The sequence below is a fragment of the Homo sapiens genome, chromosome 21 (assembly GCF_000001405.40).
Source record: "Homo sapiens chromosome 21, GRCh38.p14 Primary Assembly".
NCBI lineage: Eukaryota > Metazoa > Chordata > Mammalia > Primates > Hominidae > Homo > Homo sapiens.
Window position 1 is genome coordinate 39,540,178 of NC_000021.9, and position 27,119 is coordinate 39,567,296.

Here is a 27,119-nt window from a genome sequence, read left to right on the forward strand (position 1 = left end):
GCAAGCTGCCAGTGGATCTACCATTCCAGGGTCTGGAGGACGGTGGCCCTCTTCTCACAGCTCCACTAGGCAGTGCCCCAGTAGGGACTCTGTGTGGGGGCTCTGATCCCACATTTCTCTTCTGCACTGCTCTAGCAGATGTTCTCCATGAGGGCCCTGCACCTGCAGCAAACTTTTGCCTGAGCATCCAGGTGTTTCCATACATCTTCTGAAATCTAGGTGGAAGTTCCCAAACCTCAATTCTTGACTTCTGTGCACCTGCAGGCTCAACAGCACATGGAAGCTGCCAAGGCTTGGGGCTTTCACCCTCTGAAACCACAGCCTGAGCTGTACGTTGGCCCCTTTCAGCCACAGCTGGAGCAGTGGGACATGGCACCAAATCCCTAGGCTGCACACAGCATGGGGACCCTGGCGCCAGCCCACAAAACCGCTTTTTCCCCCTGGGCCTCTGGGCCTGTGATGGGAGGGGCTGTCGTGAAGGTCTCTGAAATGGCCTGGAGACATTTTCCCCATGGTCTTGGGGATTAACATTAGGCTCCTTGCTGTTTATGCAAATTTCTGAAGCCAGCTTGAATTTCTCCTCAAAAAATGGGTTTTTCTTTTCTATTGCATCGTCAGACTGCAAATTTTCTAAACTTTTATGCTCTCCTTCCCTTACAAAACTGAATGCCTTTAACAGTACCCAAATCACCTCTTGAATGCTTTGCTGCTTAGAAATTTCTTCTGCCAGATACCCTCAAACGTCTTTCTCAAGTTTAAAGTTCCACAAATCTCTAGGGCAGGGGCAAAATGATGCCAGTCTGTTTGCTAAAACATAACAAGAGTCACCTTTACTCCAGTTTCCAACAAGTTCCTCATCTCCATCTGAGACCACCTCAGCCTGGAGACCACTTTATTGTCCATATCACTATCAGCATTTTGGGCAAAGCCATTCAACAAGTCTCTAGAAAGTTCCAAACTTTCCCAAATGTTCCTGTCTTCTTCTGAGCCCTCCAAACTGTTCCAGTCTCTGCCTGTTACCCAGTTCCAAAGTTGCTTCCACAATTTCGAGTATCTTTTCAGCAATGCCCAACTCCCGGTACCAACTTACTGTATTAGTTCATTTTAACACTGCTGAGAAAGACATACCTGAAACTGGGAACAAAAAGAGTTTATTTGGACTTAAAGTTCCACATGGCTGGGGAGGCCTCAGAATCATGGCGGGAGACGAAAGGCACTTCTTACATGGCGGTGGCAAGGGAAAAATGAGGAAGAAGCAAAAGCGGAAACCCCTGATAAACTCATCAGATCTTGTGAGACTTACTCACTATCATGAAAATAGCACGGGAAAGACCGGCCCCCACAATTCAACTACCTCCCTCTGGGTCCCTCCCACAACATGTGGGAATTCTGGGAGACACAATTCAAGTTGAGATTTGGGTGTGGACACAACCAAACCATATTAGGGCTTAAACCTTTGATTTGAAATCTTTAATGGCAAGTATAGTGATTCCTATTCTGTACAGCTTTTTTTTTTTCTTTCATAAGATTGTATTTTTTCTTTCCTTTTTTTTTTTTTTTTCTGGAAACGGAGTCTTCATCTGTTGCCCAGGCTGGAGTGCAGTGGTGCCATCTTGGCTTACTGCAACCTCTGCTTCTTGGGTTCAAGTGATTCTCCTGCCTCAGCCTCCCCAGTAGCTGGGACTACAGGCACCTGCTACCACATCTGGTTAATTTTTTTTTTTTTTTTTGTAGTTTTGGTAGAGACAGGGTTTCACCATGTTGGCCAGGCTGGTCTCAAACTCCTGCCCTCAGGTGATCTGCCCACCTTGGCCTCCTAAAGTGCTGGGATTATAGGTGTGAGCCACTGTGCCTGGCCAAGATTGTATCTTTTCAATTGAAAGAACATACACAGCTTAAGGACAAAAGCGATAACAACCTTCACTCTAAAACTGCCAGGGTGTAAAGATGAAAAGATAGGCTTTGCAGTGTGTGCATGCATGTCTGTGAACAGATATTTGTGCATGTGTATTTGAGGAAAATAATAGCACCAAGAAGATGGAAACACTGAGCAGGAAAAGGAGCTTTGGGAATCCCCAGGTTAAATGCACACTTCTCACTATGGCAGTTTGTTGAGCCACTTGGTTCCTCCTTTAATCACACATTGATGCAAAGAAAAATGTTTAGAGAGGGTGGATATAGTTTGCTAAAAGATTGTGATTATTTTCCTATAGAAGTGCTTCCTTTGTGGACATTGTCGAGGCCAAGAGAAATAACTTCCCTTTCACCCTCTGAAGTTTCCCTGAAAATCATGACAATAGGCTGATTGATAGGAGAAAAGGCACACACATGCATTTGATCATAGTTTTACGTGACACAGGAGACTTCAGAATGAACAACCAAAGAGGGAAACTGTCCATTTTTATGCTTAGGTTCAACAGAGTATGGACAGCTGTGTAGAGATATGATTGGATGAAAGGGGTAAGACCTAATGCTGATAGGCTGGGAGGGGAAATCCGGCAAGGCCTGTCTGTCTAGATTCTTCTTGGCTTCTCTGAGCAACATCCCTTCCTTCTGGGTATGGGAAGGACCCTCTCTGGAACAGAAGCCTTATGACATACAATCAAACAACGTAGGTCTGATCATTTCTTAAAAAAATTTTTTTTAAAATAAAAATGGAGATGGGGTTTCACCATGTTGCCCAGTCTGGTCTCAAACTCCTAAGCTCAAGTCATCTGTCTGCCTCAGCCTCCTAAAGTGCTGGGATTACAGGCATGAGTCACCATTCACGGCCTTGATAATTTCTTTATGGCTAGTTTTTACACAGAAAGGTGGAGGAAAAGTTAGAGCAATATTTTTTGGTTTATAGCTGGCTTTGGGGAAAACGGATTCTGGTTTCTATGCCTAGCCTCAGGGAAACGTGAGATGGATAACATGAGGGCAGGAGAAGGTCAGACGAAAACTTTTGCTTCCAAGGTCTTTGTTTTGAGTATCATTTTCTGAATCCCAACATTCCCTGGTCTGAAACTTTCCCAAGAAGTTTCACAGTCCAGAAATTGGATTGGTGGATTGTCTTATAAGTTATTGAGCCAGGATCTCAGTCCCAAAAATGGATCTCATTTCAGGCTTCCACTAAGGTCAGGCCTCTATATGATTTGAGCAATCATATATTTAATAAGAGGCATTTCTGGCTGGGCACGGTGGCTCACGCCTGTAATCCCAGCACTTTGAGAGGCTGAGGCAGGCAGATCACCTGAGGTCAGGAGTTCGAGACCAGCCTGGCCAACATGGTGAAGCCCTGTTTCTATTAAGAATACAAAATTAGCCAGGCATGGTGGTGCGCGCCTGTAATCCCAGCTACTGGGGAGTCTGAGGCAGGAGAATCACTTGAACTGGGGAGGTGGAGGTTGCAGTGAGCTGAGATAGTGCCATTGCACTCCAGCCTGGGCAACAGAGCAAGACTCCATCTCAAAAAAAAAAAAAAAAGGCATTTTTATAGAAACTGAAGAAAATAAAAACAAAGATTAATGGTTAGGGCAAACTATAAACTCAGTTTTTTGAGTCTAGAGAGCAGCCAGTTGAGAAGAATTGTAGGTGCTGGGCTCAAAGCACCTGCAGATAAAGAGAGCAGACAGTGAGAATCTGACAGTTTTCCTGGTTTGCAGTTTGCATCAGGCATTCCAGTGAACTTTCTGTGTAATCTATACATCGACAGGCATGAAGGCTGTTTGTCTATTACGTTGCTGTAGTGCTTTAACCCAACATTTATATAAAATTGTCTAGTTTCAGCTTGCAGGACTTTAAAAAAAGTTCAGTTTTAATTTCTAGTGTTCCAAGTCAGTAAAATGGGAGAAAAACGTGGAAGGAAATGTTAGTTTGGAGACTTGTTGCAAGGAAAGAATTCAGGATTCAGTCCAAACTGTAGGAAAATCAGCCAGGCATGGTGGCTTATGCCTGCAATCTCAGCACTTTGGAGGCTGAGGTGGGTGGATCACCTGAGGTCAGGAGTTCGAGACCAGCCTGGGTAACATGGTAAAATCCTGTCTCTATAAAAAATACAAAAATTAGCTGGGTGTGGTTGCAGATGCCTGTAATCCCAGCTACTCAGGAGGTTGAGGCAGGAGAATCACTTGAACCCAGGAGGTGGAAGTTGCAGCGGGTTGAGATTGCATCACTGCACTCCAGCCCAGGTGAGAGAGCAAGCCTCCATCTCAAAAAACAAAGCAAAACAAAACAATAAAAACCACCCCAATGGTCAGGACTAAAATCTAGTAACAGGTATACTATAGCTTTCTTCTGAAGCATAATTTTTCTCTCTCTAATCCCCCATTTCCGCCAAAAATAAATCATAGTAGGACCAATTTATTTGCAAAATAAGTTTTAGTCTTATTATCCTTGGCCTAATTATTTGCATGAAGTACAGCAAGAATAGTGATTGTCGTATAAGCTCTTTTTAAGCTTGCTTTGCTGGACCATTTTCATGAGGAATCTCTGATTAGACTTTCAAAAATCTTTTGAGGCTAGGAAGCCAAGCCAAGGATTCACCCTCTGGTTGTGCTTGTATCACCTGAATGAATTGGGTGATTTCTGTCTTCTTAAGGTCCTCCAAATATCTTGACGCTCCTAGTCCTGTCAGAAAGTGACATTCTTTACTTACCATAAGGTCAGAAACACTGTAAGGGACCTGTGCAGACAAGGTACCAGGCCAGTCTTTTTCTAAGGCTATTGGCTTATAAAGTTGACCTCAATCCCTCAAAGCAATCTGGTCCCCTTTGAAAATACGACATTCCAGTCAAAGCCTTGATAAAATAACCAGTGTTTCCAATGTTTCCTGTTACAAAAAGAAAAGAGATTCTTATAAAACTTATACAAAAAAACATATTGCCATAAAATGAGAATACTAATGAATAGTTTTGAAATTTTGGAGAATTCAAGTAGACAGAATGTATTTTAATTTTGCTTACAAAAGTATACTTTACCAAATTGCTGTAAACCATAAATAGCTCCAAAAAAGTTTCCTTGACTCTGGAAAACAAAATATAAAAATAATCAATGTTTCTGATATGGTTTGGCTGTGTCCCCATTCAAATCTCAGCTTGAATTGTATCTCCCAGAATTCCCACCTGTTGTGGGAGGGACCCAGGGGGAGGTAATTGAATCATGGTGGCTGGTCTTTCCTGTGCTATTCTCCTCATAGTGAATAAGTCTCATGAGATCTGATGGGTTTATCAGGGGTTTCCACTTTTGCTTCTTCCTCATTTTCTCTTGCTGCTGCGATGTAAGAAGTGCCTTTCACCTCCCGCCATGATTCTGAGGTCTCCCCAGCCATGTGGAATTGTAAGTCCAATTAAACCTCTTTTTCTTCCCAGTCTCAGGTATGTCTTTATCAGCAGCATGAAAATAAACTAATACAGTTTCAAACAAAAAGTCATAAAAAATCATTTCAGTCCTCTATCAGTTCAGTCCCATGTAATAATTTTTCTTCTGCCTGATGGTGGGTTAGCAATCTTCATGAACTCATCAGTTTTAAAATTAGAGTTCTGAAGGTTTTACCTAATTCAGTGGTATGCTCTACAAAGTTATCAGAAACCTGGATTCAAGAGTACTCATCAGAGTCCAGGGTCACCTTCATAAATTTCCTTGAAGACACAACACTAGGATTTGCAAAAAGGTTTTAGAGTAAAATCACCAGAATGAAGCAATTTACTGCATACACTAAGACCTATCAGAGTTTAGGAATCTCATACAATTTTGGAACACATTTGAATAACATATCCATACAAATACAATTCAAAGAATGTTAACTCAAAATCGTTTCTTATTTGCCAATGTTTCTAATGTAATTTTAAGATGCCAAGCTTGAAAAGCAGTTGGATTTCTTTACTTAATTTATAAGCACTCATTTGTTTATAAATCCATTTGGTACCATGTAGATAATATGACATGAACTTATGTATGCATAAAAATACAGAGAAACATAAATCAAGATTTTATAGCTTATATTTTAAAATTTTAGCCATGAAATTTTAGTGTCCATTTACAGAGTGCCATTTGAGGTACATTTAGTGCCATTTACAGAGGCACAATTTAATCCAACTGTCCTTCTAAACTGGTGAGTTTTACTAGACAAGTAAAGTTTTACTAGACTAGTAAAACTTTAACTAGTGAAAAAGTAAAGTTTTACTGTAAAAGTTTTACTAGTAAAGTTTTACTAGTCTAATAAAACTCACTAGTTTAGAAGGACAGTTGGATTAAATTGTACCTCTGTAAATGGAACAAGTTATGGCCAAAGGCCTTACCAAATTTTAGATAAAATGGTTGCATATTTGCACCTCAAAGCACAGAACAAGAATTTGAACGTTTAAAAAGGAGTTTGGGTGTTTTAAAGGGAGATTAAAAATGGATGCCAATGTAACACAAAATCATAGGAATTTGCCCTAGGATTTTATAAGGAGACCAATTTCATTTGGATAGGTAGCTTCTAATTTAATCTCCATTTTCCAACTAGACCACTGAGCTTAGGGTGAAGCCCACTAACAAATAATGCCAACAAAGCATTTGTAATTTTCAGGGAATAATGCTTACATATGTGAAAAACAGGTGCCGCTGGAAGGTGGAACACCTAGATCCCCCAAAATTAAGGATCTTAGTTTCACATTGAATTCCAGGTTCCCAAAAAAGGGACCTCTGGACCAGGCTGTGCAACACTTCCACAGCCCTTTCCTTAGTTCATAGATGCCTGTCTTCTAACTGTGTCCTCATGTTAGGGGTGGGAGTGGTGAGGGAGCTCTCTGGGGTCTTTTATAAGGGCACTAATCCCATTCATGAGGGCTTCACCCTCATGACCTAATTATCTCCCAAAGGCCTCACCTCCAAATAGCCTACATTGAGTATAGGTTTCAACATATTTTGGGGGGAAACAAGCATTCAGATAATAGTGACATAGAACATATGAATATACATGTATTTGTTATGGTTGCTTTCCTCATGAGGCAAGTGGCATAACTGTATTCACTAGATTGAAATAGTTTTTAAATAAAAAGGAATGATTTAATGAGGCTAAGAACATTTTAAGAACTTTAAAAAATATGAGTTCATTTTGAAATAATTACAGGGCTAAATTTGGACTGGTCTGACTTTGAATGTCATGTTTGGCTCACTGTAGTATATTTGTTGTCTCAATGAATGTGTGTTTTTCATATTAAATAGAGTTGGTGGCAGAGCTGGGACTCAAATATGGATATTATGGCACTCAGTGGTCACACTTAGGTGAGGCTGGATGCTCCAGCCCCTGTTGCGGAGAGAACTGGGAATTTCATCGGGTGCTGTTTCTCCAGTCTTGCCCATGTTCACTCCACTGCCGTCAGACACATCAACCTTATCATGCCACTCCACTGCTTGAAATACTTTGTCTCCTGCCTAGGGCTTTCAGCATAAAACACACTCTTTATATGGCCAATATATTAGTTCGTTCTCACACTGTTCTAAAGAACTACCTGAGACTGGGTAATTTATAAAGAGAAGAGGTTTAACTGACTTGCAGTTCTGCAGGCTGTACAGGAAGCATGCTGGGAGGCCTCTGGAAACTTACAATCATGGTGGAAGGTGAAGGGGAAGCGAGCACGGTCTTCCCATGGTGGAGCAGGAGAGAGCAAGATTTGGGGAACGTGCTACACACTTGTAAACAACCAGATCTCATGAGAACTCTGTCAGGAGATAGTACTAAGCGGATGGTGCTAAACCACCACAAACCACCCCATGATCCAATCACCTCCCTCCAGGCCCCACCTCCAACACTCAGGATCACAATTCAACATGAGATTTCGGTGGGGACACAGAGCCAAACCATATCAGCAGAGAAGGCTCTACCCGTTGAGACCCTGCTTTCCAACACTACTCGTCTCTCTCCATTTCTGCATTATACTCTATGCTGCAGCCATAGGTAAATGGCTTTTTTGTTTTAAACTGTCCCATGTTCTGTCTTGCCTCTGAGCCTTTGTCCCTGCTGTCCACTCTCCTGGAATATCTTACTCATCTGCAAAACCAGAAATCCCCCATCCTTCATGTTGTAGCTGAGATATCAGTTTTGTGGTGAAGCCTTCCCTGACCTCTTCCAACTCCCTTCTGTACCCAGTTAGCTTCCCTTAGCAGTTTACACACTATGTTTGTTTATAATTCTCATTGCCTTCTTAAATTATAAACCCGAGGCCATCCTGGAAAAATGAAGGAGTTAGCCACAGCAATCAAGACTTCCAGGAGATGCAAGTAGTCAAGCCTATTTGCTCCCTTTCAGGTGATGCAGAGAGTGTGGAAACACCACTGTTTTGGCCTGTTGGTGCCTGTGATCATGTAGCTGTTCCTGAATACTTTGTTAGTTCTGAGAAATGGGCAGTAACAGAACTTGATGATGGGCATTTCTTAATCTCAGTGTACATGCACAGAATACCAAAAGCAGTTTACCTTCCTTTATTGGGCAGGGACAGCAATGTACTGTGCTACCCTGAACACAAAAAAAAACCTGTATAATTTAGCCTTTGTTATACAATCATTGTGTACTTCTATCATGTTTATTCCTTAATAAAACATGTCTGGAGAGGACAGAATCCTGGATGCAACTGAAATCCTGGATGAAATCAGAATCAATCAGTTATTAAAATCGTTATGAATAAATTGAGTTAAAAAGTTAAGTTCAGGAGGCTGGAATATGTAGCTCCATTTGCTCAAAAAACATGCTAACAGATTGCCATTTAAGTGCAGCGTTTCCAGATCACATTTAGGTTAGCATTGTGGGCGCACATGTGGCGTCTTCCTTTTTCCTGCTACTCCAGCCACTTTGCTGTTCCTTGGACAACCTAGGTACATTCTTGCCTCTGGATCTTGCTGTTCTCTGCCTGGCATGCTCTCCCTCCCTCCACATGTAGGTTTTGTTTAGATCATCTCCTTCAGGGGTCTGCTCAATGTCGTCTTATCAACAAGGCCTCCCCTGACTGCTTGATTTAAAATGAAACTCCTTCCTCAAAAAGTTAAACATGGATACAGTGAGCTTTGATTGCATCACTGTACTCTGGTCTAGGTGACACAGAGAGACTCTTTCTCTAAAAAAAAAAAATAATAAAACAAGAAAACAAACAAACAAAAAAACCACATGGAGTTACTCTGTGACTCAATAATACCCTTGTATGTATACGCCCAAGAAAAATGAAAATCTGTCCTTACAAAAGCTCATACTGAATGTTCATGGCAACAATATTCATAACAGCCAAAAGGCAAAAACAACGTAAATGCTCATCATTAGATGAATGGATAAATAAAAGTTCATACATAAAATGGAATATTATTCAGCCAAAAAAGAATAAAGTACCAAAGTACCCATACATGCTACAACATGGATGGATCTTGAAAACATTATGCTAACTGAATGAAGACAGACATAAAAGGCCACATGTTGTATAATTCCATTTATATGAAATGTCCAGAATAGGCAAATCAATAAAGATATAAAGGAAATTATTAGTAGCCAGTGGCTGGGGAGAGGGGGCAATGAGGAGTGACTGCTAATGGGTATATATATATATACCCATATATATATATGTTTGAGGAGATGGGTGGGTAATGAAAATGTACTAGAAGTAGATAGTGGTGATAGTTGCACAATTCTTTAATAATACTAAAGGCCACAGGCTTGAATAGTTTAAAAGGATGAATTTTATGATATCTGAAATATATCTCAACAAAGCTATTATAGAAAAATTTGAACTCCCTGTCTTTCTGGCGCTCATTATTCTTCATTCCTGCTTTATTTCCTTGTTATTCCTACCTAACATAACATTTGTAGAGTTTGCTGTCTGCCTCACTGTACTGGCTTACAAACTCCGTGTGATCAGACATTTTTCCCTGTGTTGTTCACTGTTGTATTCCTTTGCCCTAAAACACCGCATACAGTAAATCAATAAATCTCTGTTGAATAACTGACTAAATAAATGTGACTATATATACACTAAAGCTAGTGCAAGGATGTCATTTGAAAAAGATAAAAAGATCATTGCTCAGGTAAGGAAAAGAGAATAAAAGCAGAGTCACTTTCTTTTTTTTTAATTTTATTTTAAGTTCTGGGATACATGGGCAGAAAGCGCAGGTTTGTTACCTCAGTATACATGTGCCATGGTGGTTTGCTGCACCTATCAACATGTCATCTAGGTTTTAAGCCCCACATGCATTAGGTATTTGTCCTAATGCTCTCCCTCCCCTTGTCCCCTACCCACCGACAGGCCCCGGTGTGTGATGTTCCCCTCTCTGTGTCCATGTGTTTTCATTGTTCAGCTCCCACTTATAAGTGAGAACACGCAATGTTTGGATTTCTGTTCCTGTGTTAGTTTGCTGAGAATGACGGCTTTCAGCTTTATACATGTCCCTGCAAAGGACATGAACTCATTCTTTTTTATGGCTGCATAGTATTCCATGGTGTATATTTGCCAAATTTTCTTTATCCAGTCTATCATTGATGAGCATTTGGGTTGGTTCCAAGTCTTTGCTATTGTAAATAGTGTTACAATAAACATATGTGTGCCTGTGTCTTTATAGCAGAATGATTTATAATCCTTTAGGTGTATACCCAGTAATGGGATTGCTGGGTCAAATGGTATTTCTGGTTCTAGATCCTTGAGGAATTGCCACAGTGTCTTCCACAATGGCTGAACTAATTTACACTCCCACCAACAGTGTAAAAGTGTTCCTATTTGTCCACAGCCTTGCCAGCATCTGTTGTTTGCTGACTTTTTAATAATCACCATTCTAACTGGCATGAGATGGTATCTCATTGTGGTTTTGATTTGCATTTCTCTAATGACCAGTGATGATGAGCTTTTTTTCATATGATTTTTGGCCACATAAATGTCTTCTTTGGAGAAGTGTCTGTTCATATCCTTTGCCCACTTTTTGATAGGGTTGTTTTTTTTTCTTGTAAATTTGTTTTAAGTTTCTTGTAGATTCTAGATATTAGACCTTTGTCAGATGGGTAGCTTACAAAATTTTCCTCCCATTCTGTAGGTTGCCTGTTCACTCTGATGATAGTTTCTTTTGCTGTGCAGAAGCTCTTTAGTTTGATTAGATCCCATTTGTCAATTTTGGCTTTTGCTGCAATTGTTTTTGGTGTTTTAGTCAAGAAGTCTTTACCCATGCCTATGTCCTGAATGGTATTTCCTAGATTTTCTTCTAGGGTTTTTACGGTTTTGGGTTTTACATAGAAACAGAGACACTTTCATATTAGATTAATATAGGAAAAACAACTCAGTGAAACCAGGTTTTGATTGAAAATTTTAGCACAGATTATGACTTTGTAAGATGTGAGACTCTGTCAGTGAATAACTGAAGTCTCTTTTCTGGGATCACTTTGCTCACAATTGTGTGGGTCCAGAAACAAATGTTTGGCCCTTTACTCTTTGCTTCCCTCAAGAAAAACTTGCTTTCCTGAAGTATATTAACAGAAAATTTGAGGTCCACTAAGGCCAACAGATCAGATGGTGACTGCCATTGAAAAGATAGTTTGTTATTTGCAGGTCCCAACAGAAAGGACCATGTCACACCATGGAGACCACCTGGGGAAGCACCAGGGTTGGTCAGCTGGTAGAGGGAGGGGGTATCTGTGGGAAGAAAGGCATGAGACAGGGCAGGAGGGGAGTCTGAGAGCCCAGGAAAGGAGGCGGTTGTGTTATGAATTGGTTAGTTTACATTTGAAAAGCTCACTCTCAGGCAAGCTGTTTGCTACTGCTACTGAAACACCAGGGGTTTGGTCTAGGTCCTGCTGCTCATCACACAGAAAATGATGACCAAGATGATGATTGTTTCCAAGGAAAAAGGCTTTAATAGGGTGCTGCAGCCCAGGAGATGGGAGCTCAGTCTCAAACCCATCTCCCTGACTGACTAAAACCAGGGGTTTGTGTGGCAGGGAAGAAATGTAATAATGTGTAAGAAAACGGGAACTAGGGAGGGGCAAGGAAGTAATCATGATGAATGAGAGGTCCGGTTTCTGGAACGGTGATCTGGTAAGTTTCAGTTCTTTGATACTTTTTTGAGAGGGCTGAAAGTCCTTTCATGAGAAAAGAACTCAGATAAAACAAATACGTGTTTCAAGTTTTAAGACTCCGAAAGGTCAATTTCTATGTTTATCCAAAAGAACAGTCTATGGGACTATTGGGATGGTTTCACTATCTCTAGGAAATGGGTAACCCTGGAGGTGGAGGAGCAGTCCGTCCAGGGTCAGCAAGGCTCCAGATGTCACAGAATCAGAATAAAGAAAATAAAAGACAGGGTTAATACACCTGAAGTGTAAATAGTACTAGATCTTAGATCTCGGGACCCAAGATGATCCTGAAATGCCTTGTTTTGGGAACACAAAAGTATTTGGGGCTGCTGCTGGAATGGGCAGGAGACCATTTATGAAGATGTTGCTACCTCATTTTCATAGTAAAACTTCCTTTTGGGAAACTTCAACTGCTCAGAGAAGAAAAGGATGTTTCCTATACCGAGGACTGGCTACATAATTTGTAGGGCTCAGTGCAAAATGAAAATGGCAGACTCTTTATTTAAGAGTTGTTGAAGCCAGGCACGGTGGCTTGCATCTGTAATCCCAGCTACTCAAGAGGCTGAGGCAGGAGGATCTTGGAATGTCTAAGCATTGAGGAGTTGGATCTGAAAAGCAGTGAATACAGCAAGAAAGGACAAGCCAATCTGTAAGAACCTTGGGTCCATGAAGATATGGAATAGATACTTAAAGATACTAATGTGACTTGTGCCTATGGTGAAAGTAGTGTCACAAGGAATTAAATGTTGTTTAAGACATACTGTAAAATGATCAAACTACACTACAGGTGCCTTGCCAACACCCAGATGTTATTACTCCAGAACTTTGGATCTCTACTATATGCCAATTTTGGTGAACACCCAGATGTTATTACTCTATAACTTTAGATCTCTGCAGATTGTGATGCTGGAGCCTGTGAATTCATGAAGTATTTTATTATTTGGGTCAAGAGGTATCTATTGAATAAACTATATGATCTGTGTGAATAGCGAGAGTTGGTCTTTAGCAATCTGTAAATTGTACTTCAAATGCTTAGCTTACACACACACAGACACAGACACAGACACACATGCATGCCTTTTCAAATTCCTAAAATGGCACAGCTACCCTGCTTTTGCAATCAGGAAAATAACCTTGGTTCCTAGTTGGAAATATTTTGGGGAATTGTCTCAGCAAAAGATTAAAAATATCAGGGCAGCATTGTTTCCCTAAGCCTTGTTTCTTGGGTATCTTTACTCTCTGTCTCCCAGGCCTAGTGCTGCAGCCAACAAATGCTGCCAATGGCAGCTGATGACCTGAAATATTTCCTGCAGCTTAAAGCTCAGCCAGTGCTTGATTTTATTGCGTTCTGTTGCTTGGTGACACTTGGAGGGGCCATCAGTTGTGAGGAGGATGGTTAAGTGGCCCTGAGAAATTCTGAACCTCAACGCAGCCTCGGAGGCCCTCTTCTGAGCTATGCTCTGGAGAATGGACTGTAAGACAGAATGACTTTTTCTGCAGAGACAAGAAGAAAAGGTGGGAAGGTGAGACAGAGTTTCTAAAGCCAACTCAAGCTACAGTTTAGTTTGGTCTCCTACATAATATTCCTGTTTAAGTGGGAGGTGGTTGGGGTGGATTCTTTCCTTTATTGAAATTATAATAAAAAAATGTAAATTTGATCTGAAGGGAAGGCCAAGTGGTAAATTCTGGCACTCATGGAGATCTTTTAGAGATCATGAATGTCTGGGTGTTGGATCAGGATTTGAACCCAGGTCACTCCATATCCACAGCCGTGGAGTCATTTTCTCTATCACTGTTTGTACACAGCAGGCGATTATAAATATTGTAAATACTCTGCCGCTGGTCTCCTTCCTCTTCCCCTCCTCCTCTTCCTTCTGCTCAGGGCTCCTTATTCTTCTCCTCCTGCCTTCCTCTCTCCATGTCCTCCTCCTCCTCCTTCCTCCTAGTCATTCTGCGCCCCCACCTCCTCTCTTCCTCTTTCTTCTTCCTCTTTCTCCATCCTTTCCTCCTTCTCCTCCACCGCCTTCTCTCTTATCATCATCATTATAACCACCACATAGGGCATGTCTATTCTGCCCCAGTGTTGTGCCAAGCACTTGACCTGCAATAGCTCATTAAGTCATACAGTCGGTATTATTAATATCATCCCCATTTTACCACGAGGAAATGAACACTTGGAAACACTATGTGGACCACCTAAGTACTCACAGTTAGCAAAGGGCTGACATTTGACCCTAGAGTTTCCCAACTTAAAGCCAGTGCTCTTAACTCCTTGATGTCTACTTATCTGTAAGTGAATCATGCAGAAGAAAGCACATAGTTTTCTCCCTGGGCATAGGTTAGCTGTCCTCAGGCCTTGTGGGTTTTGCAAAATTCCAAGGTCAATATTAAGTGCTCTGGTATCATTTCATATATATGTGGATTGAGTTGGCCTTACTTCTAAAATTACAGGCAATGTTCTGGTTCCCACTCTGAGCTGGTCATCCTTACTGCCAGCATTGTACTCAGCACTGCAGGTGCAGGGGGCCAGGCTCTGCATATTCTTGGAAGCCACTCCTCATGAAGCTGCTTAAGTGATGCCACTAGCCCCCAAGACCTTTGCTTGCCCTGAGGGCCCAAGATGTGCTTCATCTAGAGTAATTCTGATTTCTGGAAAAGAATTGAGACCAGCCTGGGCAAAAGGGTGAAAGTTTGTCTCTACCAAAAAAAAAAAAAAAAAAAAAAAAAAAAAAATATATATATATATATATATATAAAATATATATATATATATAAAATATATATATATATATATTTTATATATATATATATATATAAAAGTTAGCCAGGCATGCTGGCACACACCTGAGGTTTTATGTCCATAAAACATAAATTCTGGCTTTTAATTGGACACTATAATTTTTACCTCATTATATCAGTAAAACCTCCTTGAAAAGGATTTTTCTTTCTTTTTCTTTTTTTTTTTTTTTTGAGACAGAGTCTTGCTCTGTCGCCCAGGCTGGAGTGCAGTGGCGCGATCTTGGCTCACTGCGAGCTCCGCCTCCCGGATTCGCACCATTCTCCTGCCTCAGCCTCCCCAGTAGCTGGGACTACAGGCGCTCGCCACCACGCCCAGCTAATTTTTTTTTTTTTTTGTATTTTTAGTAGAGACGGGGTTTCACCGTGTTAGCCAAGATGGTCTTGATCTCCTGACCTCGTGATCTGACCTCCTCAGCCTCCCAAAGTACTGGGATTACAGGCGTGAGCCACTGCGCCTGGCTTCTTTCTTTTTCTTTTCTTTTTGAGACAGGATCTCACTCTGTTGCCCAGGTTGGAGTACAGTGGTGCAATCACGGCACACTGCAGCCTCGACTTTCTGGGCTCAAGTGATCCTCCCACCCCAGCCTCCTGAGCAGCTGGAACCTCAGGTGTGTGTCCATATGCCTGGATAACTTTTATATATATTTTTTGTAGAGACACAGTTTTACCCTTTTGCCCAGGCTGGTCTCAAACTCCTGAGCTCAAATGATCCTCCGACCTTAGACTCCCAAATTGTTGGGATTACAGGCGTGAGCCACTACACCTGGCCGGATTTTAATTTTTCTTATTGAAGTAACTTGTCATAGAATTTCCTGGTGGGAAGTCCCATCAAGACATGAAATAGACATAATGTAAAGACATTTATTGAAAAGCAAAAATTCCATTTCCCAAAGCCATGCTCTATGCATGATGGTTGGGAGGCTTTTAAATAGTGGGACTGAGATGAATTATTCTCCGATTTCTGACTGTCACAATGGTTTTAATCCAAGAATAAAACCAACACAAACAGCGTGGCTCTAAACCAAGAAACAAGTCCATTTTAAAGCAACATCTGTAAGCTTGGAAAGCACCTGTTTTCTCTGGTGAGCTGTTAAAAATCCAAATAGTTGAGCAATTACAGATGGCTTTCCAAAGACCTGTTTTCCTATTTTTTTCTCTTCCAAAATGATTTTTTAAATATTTAACATTAACAAGTAACAGTATTGGCTCATATATTAGCATGCGGCTCAACTTTAAGTTTTATTTTCTCCCGAAGCTTTTGTGGTGAGGTGAAGAGGCAAACTGTGGAGGGTTAGCCTGGTAACCATGGCAACAGCATTGCCATCCATGAAGTGGCTCTGAGAGCCCAAGGCCCTCAGGCTGGGAGGCTAATTCCTACAACAAAGCCTTTTCTGTGTTCAACTGGGTACAGGAAAGCCGCTGGTTGTGATGGTGGCTATGACAAACCTTCAGCCTGAAGACCCGGGAGGGAAAAATGTGAGTCTTACCCTTCACACATTAATTATTTTATGAATAGATGAATGCAATGTGCTAGCAAACCTGATGAATGTAATTCAGGCCTGCTCTCCTAAACCATACCGTTGCTTCATTCGACATGCTCCTGCAGAAACACATTTAATGCTCGTGTGCAAATCATTTGAACATGGTCTTTAAATATTTCTCATTCTGTGACGGTACCAAAGCTGTCTCGAGCATCTAAAAGGGATTATGAAAGCCATCCTTTCTACAGAGTTTGTTTTAAAATAACCCAACTATTAGAATATTATACTTCCATTAGTTGCTGGCTTAGTAGGATTTCCCACTCAGGAATGAAGCGGGATTTAAAGTGGCTTCTCGTTCATGAGGCATGATTTTTTTTCTTTTTTTTGTTTTATTATACTTTAAGTTTTAGGGTACATGTGCGCAACATGCAGATTTGTTACATGTGTATACATGTGCCATGTTGGTGTGCTGCACCCATTAACTCGTCCTTTACATTAGGTATATCTCCTAATGCTATCCCTCCCCCCTCCCCCCACCCCACAACAGGCCCTGGTATGTGATGTTCCCCTTCCTGTGTCCATGTGTTCTCATTATTCAATTCCCACCTATGAGAGAGAACATGTGGTGTTTGGCTTTTTGTCCTTGCGATAGTTTGCTGAGACTGATGGTTTCCAGCTTCATCCATGTCCCTACAAAGGACATGAACTCATCATTTTTTATGGCGGCATAGTATTCCATGGTGTATATGTGCCACATTTTCTTAATCTAGTCTATCATTGTTGGACATTTGGGTTGGTTCCAAGTCTTTGCTGTTGTGAATAGTGCCGCAATAAACATACGTGTGCATGTGTCTTTATAGCAGCATGATTTATAATCCTTTGGGTATATACCCAGTAATGGGATGGCTGGGTCAAATGGTATTTCTAGTTCTAGATCCCTGAGGAATCGCCACACTGACTTCCACAATGGTTGAACTAGTTTACAGTCCCACCAACAGTGTAAAAGTGTTCCTATTTCTCTACATCCTCTCCAGCACCTGTTGTTTCCTGACTTTTTAATGATCGCCATTCTAACTGGTGTGAGATGGTATCTCATTGTGGTTTTGATTTGCATTTCTCTAATGGCCAGTGATGATGAGCATTTTTTCATGTGTCTTTTGGCTGCATAAATGTCTTCTTTTGAGAAGTGTCTGTTCATATCCTTCACCCACTTGTTGATGGGGTTGTTTGTCTTTCTAAACTTGTTTACTATGGTCACATTAGGAAGGGTATTTATTGCCAACTGAAAAATAACCAGTGTGTTATAAATTCAAGAGAAAATATGTTCCAAATTAACAAAATGGGACTAGAAGTATTGAACCTGAAAAAAGGTATAATTTTGAATTCTAGAAAAAGAGAAGTGTTCGGTTTGGAAATTTTAGTGACAGTAAAAATGTGCCTGAATTCCAGTTCATTTGATTTACAACAACATCTACATTGGATGTGACAGCGGTAGAATCCTAAGCTTTTCAATTAGATCTTGGTTTTCTTATTTTCCAGATATGTAATTGATATGGTTTGGCTCTGTGTCCCCACCCAAATCTCATCTTGAATTGTACTCCCATAAGTCCCACGTGTTGTGGGAGGGACCTGGTGGGAGATAATTGAATCATGGGGGTGGTTTGCCCCATAATGTTCTAGTGGTAGTGAATAAGTCTCACGAGAGCTGATGGTTTTATAAGGAGTTTCCGCTTTCACTTCTCTCTCATTCTCTCTTGCTGCTGCCATGTAAGATGTGCCTTTTGCCTTCCACCATGATTGTGAGCTCTCCCCAGCCACGTGGAACTGTGAGTCCATTAAACCTCTTTCTTTAGTAAATTGCTCAGTCTCGGTATGTCTTTATCAGCAGTGTGAAAACGGACTAATACAGTAATTTTGGGTGAAGGATTCAACCTCTTTTTGGGTGATTCTTCAGTTCTAAAATTGAGATAAAAATAGTACCTTAGAATGTTGTGAGAATTGAATGAGAAAATTTATGCAATGTACTTAGCACTGTGACCAGTCAGGGTTCAACACTGTTGTATATTCCTAGGTCTACCTTTGATGGCTCAACTATGGCTAAGCCAATCAGGCCATGCACGTATTTTTTGGAAAGAATTACTACAGTATAGAATGTGGTGATGGAACTGTACTGTGAGAGTTAGCCTAACTCTTGACTTGTGCTTGAAGTTCCTCAAGATGTTGGTTTCAACTTCTGGACTGTAGCTGAAGCGGCTACGTTGTCTGGGGTACATACCCCGGGGTTCATTGTCGTGTGCCAGGAAAATTTAGGACATGGACATGCACGAGGAGTTTAGGAGCCAAAGTTTAACAGGCAGAAGAGAAGAGAAAGAGAAACAGCTCTCTCCATAGAGAAAGGGGTCTCCAAGCTCAAAGGACCGGCTGTTGGTGAATGCACCAGGTTTTATAGTCCACTTTGAGGAGGTGGTGTCTGATTTATATAAGGCTCACAGATTGGTTCAGTGCAATCAGGTATGATGTTTACATAGCACACAGGGAAGGCTGGTTGCCCCACCCTCATCTTATTATGCAAATGAGCTTTCCAGGTGATGGGCGCCATCTTGTCTGCTCCTTACATTACATGTGGCTGACAAAGACAAGGGAAGATGGAGCCGCCATCTTAAACATGATTGGCACTACTGCAGGTATCTATGTCTGCAGCTCGATTTTACAGGCTGCTCTTGGTTAGAAAGGAAAGTAATTCAGGGCTGCTTTTCATTAAAAAGAAAAGCCTTACCAAGGACTCCCATACCCTTGCTATCTGCTTAAGTGGTTTCTTCTTAACTCCTATTATTGTAATGGTCACTATAGGACTCACTGTGGGTGGGATTGGCCAGCCATCCTGCTTTGTATGGAGCCTCCTACTCTGGGTATGGACAGGTATGCTTTTTCCTACAGCTGAGGATTAGGAATGCATGTGGAGGCGCGGTACCCTGGCCGTCCTTGCTGGAGGTGAGCAGTGTTCCTTAGCAGCTGCATGCCTGGGGGTCTGGATAGGGAAAAGGAAACGGCAAGGAGAATCAGCCACAGGCAAAGAATTTCTTCCCCACCTGGGCCCTGTAGCCTCTGGGATTCTCTGCCAGCAGGGCACCCCGTGGTTCCTCAAGTCAAGACTGAAAACAGTTGAAGGTCTCACTGCATGTTCTAGTGATGGCTTGTCTTTTGTTTCCTAAAGTCACGAGGGTGAGACTGGCCAGGGGCTTGTGTGGTTTTATGCCTCAGGCTCCAGTGCACAGGAGAAAGGGCAGGGTTCACCTCCCAGCTCTTCTGCTTAATGGCTGCATTACCTTGAGCAAGACTTAGTGATATGGTTTGAGTCTGTGGCCCTGCCCAAACCTCATGTCAAATTGTAATCCCCAATGTTGGAGGTGGGGCCTGGTGGGAGGTGATTGGATCGCAGGGGCCTGGTGGGAGGTGATTGGATCGCAGGGGCGGTCACTCATGAAGGGTTTAGCACCATCCCCCTAGCGCTGTTCTTGGGATAGAGTTCTCCTGAGATCTGGTTGTTTTAAAGTGTGTGGCACCTGCCCCCTTGCTCTCTCTTCCTCCTGCTCTGGCCATGTAAGAAGTGCCGGCTTCCCCCTTGCCTTCCACCATGATTGTAAGTTTCCTGAGGCCTCCCTAGAAGCTGAGCAGATGCAGCCATGCTTCCTGTACGCTGCAGAATAGTGAGCCAATAAAACCTCCTTTATTTATCAATTACCTAATCTCAGGTGTTCCTTTATAGCAGTGTGAAAATGGACTAATACAGTTGGTGTCATCAAGAGAGCTGTGGAGAATATTAGTACTGAATCCACAGGGGTGATATGAGGATTCTACAAAGACACACCCGAAGTGCCTCGCACAGCCTATGGTGCCTAGAAAGTCTTCAGTTCATACCGGGCATAAGTGGTTCCTAGTGGGATTTGGGGGCCTCTAATTGCCTTAAGGCAAGTGCTGCCCCTCCATCCCCTACTCCTGCCTGTAGCTCTGAATTACATGAGTTCCCTGTGGGCTGGCAGAGTTAGAGCTGTGAGATTCTAGGCTGTAGACATCATGTCCCCCATCCTAAGGGCCACATCAATTGAAGAATCGCCCTGGGCAACATGCTTGGGGAAAACAACCGGCTGTATTGAGGGTCGTTAGGTTCCTGATGACTTCAGAGGTCCCAGTGATAGGACCATGGCACCTCTACACAGCTGGCTGGGGCTAGAGAGGCATTTGCCAATTCACTCTGTCTCTGTCTCTCTTTTCTTGCTCTTCTCTGTGTCTCTGACTCTCTCTCTCAGTCATGCAGCAACAAAAGCTACAGGGCAGGGGCAAGTCACACCACACTCAGAAAACACCGATTAACCGTAGACATGTGTAATGACAAGCCAAACAAGGTTAGGAGCTTTGTTGAAGGGGTGAAAACCCCAAAGTGTGGGCATGGACTATATTGGGATATCAATCAACAGGGACTTAAGGAGCAAAACCTGCACGTTTGCATCAAATGCCCCCTGACCTACCAGGTAAGGCCTCCCCACCCCAAACCCCTTTAATGTCAGCATCATCTTTTTAAAAAGTTATAAATGTAATACATGTTCACGGTAAAAAAAAAAAAAATCTAAATGGCACAAAAAATAAAAATCTCCTTTCTCCTCTCATTTTTTCCCCAGTCTTTAGAAGTAATCATTTAACACACCATGTGCATTTGCTAGATAATCGCCAGAGTTTTCTTTATCTTGTATTATTCTTTTGGATTGACTGTTTGCTTTAGGTGATAAAGTGTTTCTATGATGGTTCAAATAAGGTTCCTGTCTCCAGGTTGTTTAATCCAACTGTATTAGTTTCCTAGGTGACAAACCACCATAAACTCGGTGACTTAAAACAGCAAAAGTGTATTCTCTCACAATTCTGGAGGGCAGAAATCTGCCATTGAGGTATTGGCAAAGCTGCAACCCCACTGAAGGTTCTAGGGAGGATCCTCCCTGGCCTCTTCCAGCTTCTGGTGACCCCAGTTGCTCCTCAGCTCATGGCAGCCTCACTCCAGCCTGTACCTCATTCCCATACGGCCTTCTCCTCTGGTCTCTGTGTCTCCTAATCTCCTCTTACAAGGACATCAGCGATAGAGTTGGTGTCCACCAGCCCACCCTAAAACTTGGACATCTCATCTCAAGATCTTTAACTTAATTGTATTTGCATTGACCTTGTTTCCCCAATAAGGTCACGTTCTGATTCCAGGTGGACTTGAATTTTGGGGAGACATTATTCAATCACTACAAAGTTCACTCTGTCTCCGGCTCTCTTTTCCTGCCCCTCTTGGCTAAGGCAAATGATCTTAAAACTTTAAGTAGATGTTGACTCATTTTCAATACTCTGACAATTTGGGAGCGGCCAGCAGCCAGCGCAGAGTCCCCATCATTGAGACTGAAATTTGAAATAGTGCTACAAGCTCCTTGAGCCACTTTGAGAGGAAACTTACCACCAACAAAACTTCCCCCAAAATGATGATGCAAAATCAATAAAGATCTCGATCAAAGATTCTTGGTAACTTCCCAAAGATAAGCAGATCCTTAATTGGCTGTGAGATCTTAGCCAAAAGTCTCAAAGTCTTCATCTATAAAATGATGATGGCAACGTCATCTATTATTGGTGTTGTGTGAATTAAATGAGGAAATGCATTTGGAGTGTTTGGTGCAGTACTTGGAATGTAGTGAATGCTTAATCAAGGATGACTTTGAAAATCTTAAGAACTGAGAACAGACTTCAGCACAGCATATATAATGAACATGACTGGGGATATAAGTGGTTCTTTAAAAAGATGGCATGAAATAAGCCTGTATCAGGGCCCAAGAATAGAAGCAGACATAGCTGGATCTTATCATAATGACAGGGCACCAGAATCAGTGTCCCAGCAGGCAGGAAAAGCACACTCAAATTAGGGAAACCCAAGAAAGGCTTAATAAAGGCACCAGGTACAAAGGTGTAGGGAAACCACCAGGGTTGTGTGGTAACAGGGAGAGGGAGAGTGGTGGAACAGCTGTTACCATCCCTAAAACCAAAGGGATGGAAGAGAGGAAGTGAGCAAAGGGACAGGGAAGGAGAGAGTCTCTAGAGAAGGTGCCTCAATGCGGCAGTGACCACAGCCACCCTGCAGGATATGGTCAAGGGAATAAAGCCGAAATTTTACTGTTCTTCCTCCTTCCAATCCCCTGCTGGGGCTCCCCTTTGCTGAGTTAATTTTGAAATCATAGAGCAAGGGAACTTCTGGATCCCTAGGGATATGAGTGTGGTCAACCCAGCCCCCAAGAAAGCAAACTTCCTAGGGCAGAAGAAAAGGTGCAGACGCTGGGAGAATCTTGGGGAGGAACCTGGAAAGATACCGCCTGCGGCTCTTAATCATTTGATTGTCAGATTGTGGAACATTCTCTTCTGTAGGTGGCACTGCTCTTGCAAGACAAGGAACCCGTGGCTCAGCACCACCTGCCATAACTGCACACTGGCACAGCTTCTAGCAATACCCACCAAGCGTCCACTGAGGAACTTACGGTATTTGCCAACTTTGGCAAAGGATAAGATAATGTTGTGGAAAATACCATACTCTGCGGCAGTTTTAGGTATGGCTGCAGACACTGCCACATCCCGAGACAGATCGCCCTGAGCTCTTCTAATAAGAGACAACTGCTGGGCTACTGTCTGGTGAATAATCGAAATTGCCTGTTGCCAGGGCATGTGACCCACTGTGACTCTCCTGGAGAGCAGCAATCAAGACTAAAGTATTAGTTCCTGGAGCTGCAGGAGACATTCAGAGTGGCATCTGTTCTCACTGGTTGGCAGCAGAATTGGTTCATTTCAGCCTGCAATCCTCTTCCAGTAAATCCTCTTCCAGTAAATCCTCTTCTCCACCCCCATTTACCTATAAGACCTCCTCCTCCCTCTCCACTTCCTCCCTCTCCCTCTTTCCCTTCCCCTTTCCCTCCCTCCTTTTTCTCTTCCCTTCTTCTCTCTCTCTCTTTCTCTGCCTCCCTCTCTCCTTCCCTCTCCCACCTTCCTCCTTCCTTCTCTCTCTTTCCTCCCTCTTTCCCCTCTCCCTCCTTCCTCGTTCCCTCCCTCCCTCTCTCCCTTATCCCTCCCTCTCCATCTCTCTCTCTCATTCCTGCTTGGACATCAGGTTCAGAGGGCTGATCTGGTCACACTCCTCGCTTCTTGGCACATTTTCAGTGTGGCTTCTTGCAAGGACTCTCACTTGTTTGGTTCTTTAATTTCCTTTTATAACAGCAACAGCAATTACCCAACCCTTCCAATGTCACTTTCAGACCAGATGCTGTACCAAGGGCTTTATGTACACTCACTGTTTGCTCCCCACTTGCAAGTGTTGAGATGGATTCCACCACGGCCTCCAGCTGGAGGAGCTTGGTAAGTTGCATGTGGTGTCAGGGCTAAGCCCAGGCAGTCTGTTCCTTTGATTTGGGCTCTGCACTGTCCCCCTTCCCCTCCCCTTAGGTTTAATGGATATCATTTTGTTATGTGTTCCTACAAAACGGATATCATTGTTTTGTAGTCATTTAAAAAACAGTCAAGAAATTATTGTTGTAAATGTCTCTGTTTCTTATTTTCTCTAGGCCTTCGCTTCCCTTGGTGGCCAGGTACTTTCTGGTTCCCCCAGAGGAAATCATTTCACCCATCCTTTCTTCCAGTGGTGGACCCAGAGTGCTTCCAGCTCTCTGTCCTACAAATAAAGCTGTGACAAATATTCTCAAATATGTCTCCACAAGGGGCCGTGGGGACATTTCCATGGCCTGGAATCAGAAATGCCAGGCCCTGGGGTGCTGAGGCCTAATTGGTGAGCTAGGCCCGACTGTGCCCAGCCTCCCCTCCCACCAGTGGGCACAGTTCCAGTGTCCTTCCATCCATGCCAGCACTTGGCATCAGCTGCTGAATTTGTGCCAGGCTAATAGGTGTAAAGTGATTTTCCATGGTATTAATTTGCATTTCTCTGACTATTGATGATGGCCAACATTTCCCCCAATGCAGGCGGCCTTTCATCTGGCTGCATTGCAGTAAACTGCTTGTACTCATTTTACTATTAGAGCTGCTGGAATTTTCTTGTTGGTTTGTGGGGTTTTTTGTTCTACATTTCTGTTTTTTTATCTGGTAGATTTTATCTGCTGCAGAATCTTCTCCCTGTCTGTCCTGTATTTATTTTTGTCCCTGGGGTGACCATTTGGAACAAAACTCCTTCATTTTCATATAATCAAATGTATTAATATTTCTGTACATTGGAAGTTTTAAGAAGTCCTACCCTATCTACAAATCATAAAGATATTCTCTTATATGTCTTTCTGTTATCCTCACCCTTTTACCTTCCTCAGGCAGGTATTGCTTTCATCTGGAGCGCATGATGATTTCTGTGTTAGGTAGAGATTCAGTCATATTTCGATTGACTGATACAGTCATGGTCTCTCCAGCACTATGTACTAACCATTGTCCTCTTTTCCTTATTGAGTTTTGTTCCCCTTTACTATATGTTAAATCCTTTTCAGACACAGGTTTCACTCTGTACTCTCTATTCTGTCTCCTTGATATAGTTTCTACTTTGTGCAGCTTGCATGCTGTCTTTTCATTACCTTAACTTTGAGATGTGTTTTAATGCCTAGCAGAACAAGCCTACTTCATTTTGCTTTTTTTTTTTTTCTTTTTCTTTTTGAAACAGGGCCTTGCTCTGTCCCCAAGGCTGGAGTGCAGTGGTGTAATCATGACTCACTGCAGCCTCAATCTCTGGACCTCAAGGGATTTTTCTCAACTCAACCTCCCAAGTAGCTGGGACCACAGGTGTGCACCACCATGCCCGGCTAATTTTTGTATATGTATGTGTGTGTGTGTGTGTGTGTGTGTGTGTGTGTGTGTGTGTGTGTATGTGTGTGTGTATATATATATTTTGGAGATGGGGTTTTGCCATGTTGTCCAGGCTGGTCCTTAACTCCTGGGCTCAAGTCATCCACCAGGCTGGGCCTTCCAAAGTGCTGGGATTACAGGTGTGAGCCACCTGTGCCTGGTCTCACTTGGCTCTTGGCTTTTAAAAAGTTGACATAGCTTTTTTTTTCTTTTTTTTTTTGAGACAGGATCTCGCTCTGTTGCCCAGGCTGGAGTGCAGTGGCACGATCTCGGCTCACTGCAACCTCCACCTCCTGAGTTCAAGTGATTCTCCTGGCTCAGCCTCCTGAGTAGCTGGGATTACAGGCACACGCCACCATATCAGGCTGATTTTTATATTTTTAGTCGAGATGGTGTTTCACCATGTTGGCCAGGCTGGTCTTGAACTCCTGATCTCAGGTGATCTGCCCGCCTTGGCCTCCCAAAGTGCTGGGGTTACAAGCATGAGCCACCACACCGGCCCAACCCAGCTCTTCATAGACCTTTCTTCTTCCATGTTAAAATTAAAATAAGTTTACTGAGTTTCTCAAAACACCTGCCTGTAATTTTATTTCAACTGGATTGCGTTTATATCTTAATGTAGGGAGAATGATGTCTTTATTCTGGTTTTCACCCATCTAAGTGGCATCTTTTGAGGATTCCTGACATTTTCACGTCTATTAACAAGGATGTAGAATGTACCCTGAGTGCTTGAAGTAAAGCGTTCCTATGCCTAGCAGGGAGTGCACCTCTGCTGGTCTCCTACCTTCCACCAAGAAGGATTTCAATGAGGCTCTGGAGAGAGGCATGGTGGCTGGGGGGAAGGCCTCCCTTGGCAGGGGTTTGAGGGAATCCGGATCCCCTCCCGGGCCCCAGCACCCAGTGTCAACACACGCACTGGCCCTGTGTCCACTACGGCTTGCCTCTGCGTGACTCTCACTTACATACATGTCAATCACCACGGATGCCCTGGAATTCTAGGTGGTTCCTCATCGCTTCCTTCCGGATCCCCACAGTGTCTGAGTATCCCCAATATCTGCTGCATTTCTCATTCCTGCCCAAACCCTTGGGCCTTTCCACTGTTCCTTCTAGAAAACACTCTGCTGGACCTGGAGGTGAGGCAGGGGTCCCTCCTGCTTCTTCTTGTCCCTTCTGGACCTCTCTAAATGCCTCAGCTTTGCCTCATCTCATCAGATCGCATCCCCCTCTCCCCCGGCTGCAGCCATCTGCAGACTGCTCACTTCTCAGTGATTGGGGCTTCTGGTTCCCTGTCACTCTCTCCATCACCACTCCAGCCTTAATTCTGCATGATTTCAGTCCATGTGGTTGATTCTTCCAACAAGGAACCTTCCAGTTCCCCGAATCTCTCTCTTAATGATTGTGTCATATACACATCCCCTCCTGCCTGCAACCCAAGTGCCTCACTCTTATGGTTCATTATACCTTAGACCTGTGCTGTCCAATATGGTAGCCACTAACCACTAGTGGCTATATACATTTAAATTAGTTACAATCAAGAATAAGTAAACATTTGATTTCTTAGTTGCATTAGCCACATTTCAAGTGCCTGTGGCTAGCAGCTACCGTGTTGGCTAGTGCAGATATTGGACACTTCCATCATCACAGATAGTTCTATTGGAACTTTCTAGCATTGCCCTGGGCTTTGTCATTACCAGTCAGTATAATGTCTCCATAATCCTAGCTGGACATCTCCACTCCCTGCCCACCACCTCCTGGCCTTGCCGCTCTTCTCCATCTACTGCCTGAACTCTGCCAAACCTTGGACCCTTCAGCAACCTGCACACAACTCATGGACCCCTTTCCACTGTCCTTCCCCTGTGGGCCCTGCAGCCTGTCCTCATTCCTCC

At 42.9% G+C, this 27,119-nt stretch overlaps 2 annotated features.

The window, feature by feature from the left end:
- Nucleotides 11,490–11,991: an enhancer, noted in NCBI's record as "NANOG hESC enhancer chr21:40923594-40924095 (GRCh37/hg19 assembly coordinates)". NCBI's record gives its function as "activates a minimal SCP1, AML or CMV promoter by ChIP-STARR-seq in naive H9 embryonic stem cells {active_cell/tissue: H9 hESC(naive)}" and the evidence as "EXISTENCE:reporter gene assay evidence [ECO:0000049][PMID:30033119]".
- Nucleotides 19,243–19,832: an enhancer, noted in NCBI's record as "NANOG hESC enhancer chr21:40931347-40931936 (GRCh37/hg19 assembly coordinates)". NCBI's record gives its function as "activates a minimal SCP1, AML or CMV promoter by ChIP-STARR-seq in naive H9 embryonic stem cells {active_cell/tissue: H9 hESC(naive)}" and the evidence as "EXISTENCE:reporter gene assay evidence [ECO:0000049][PMID:30033119]".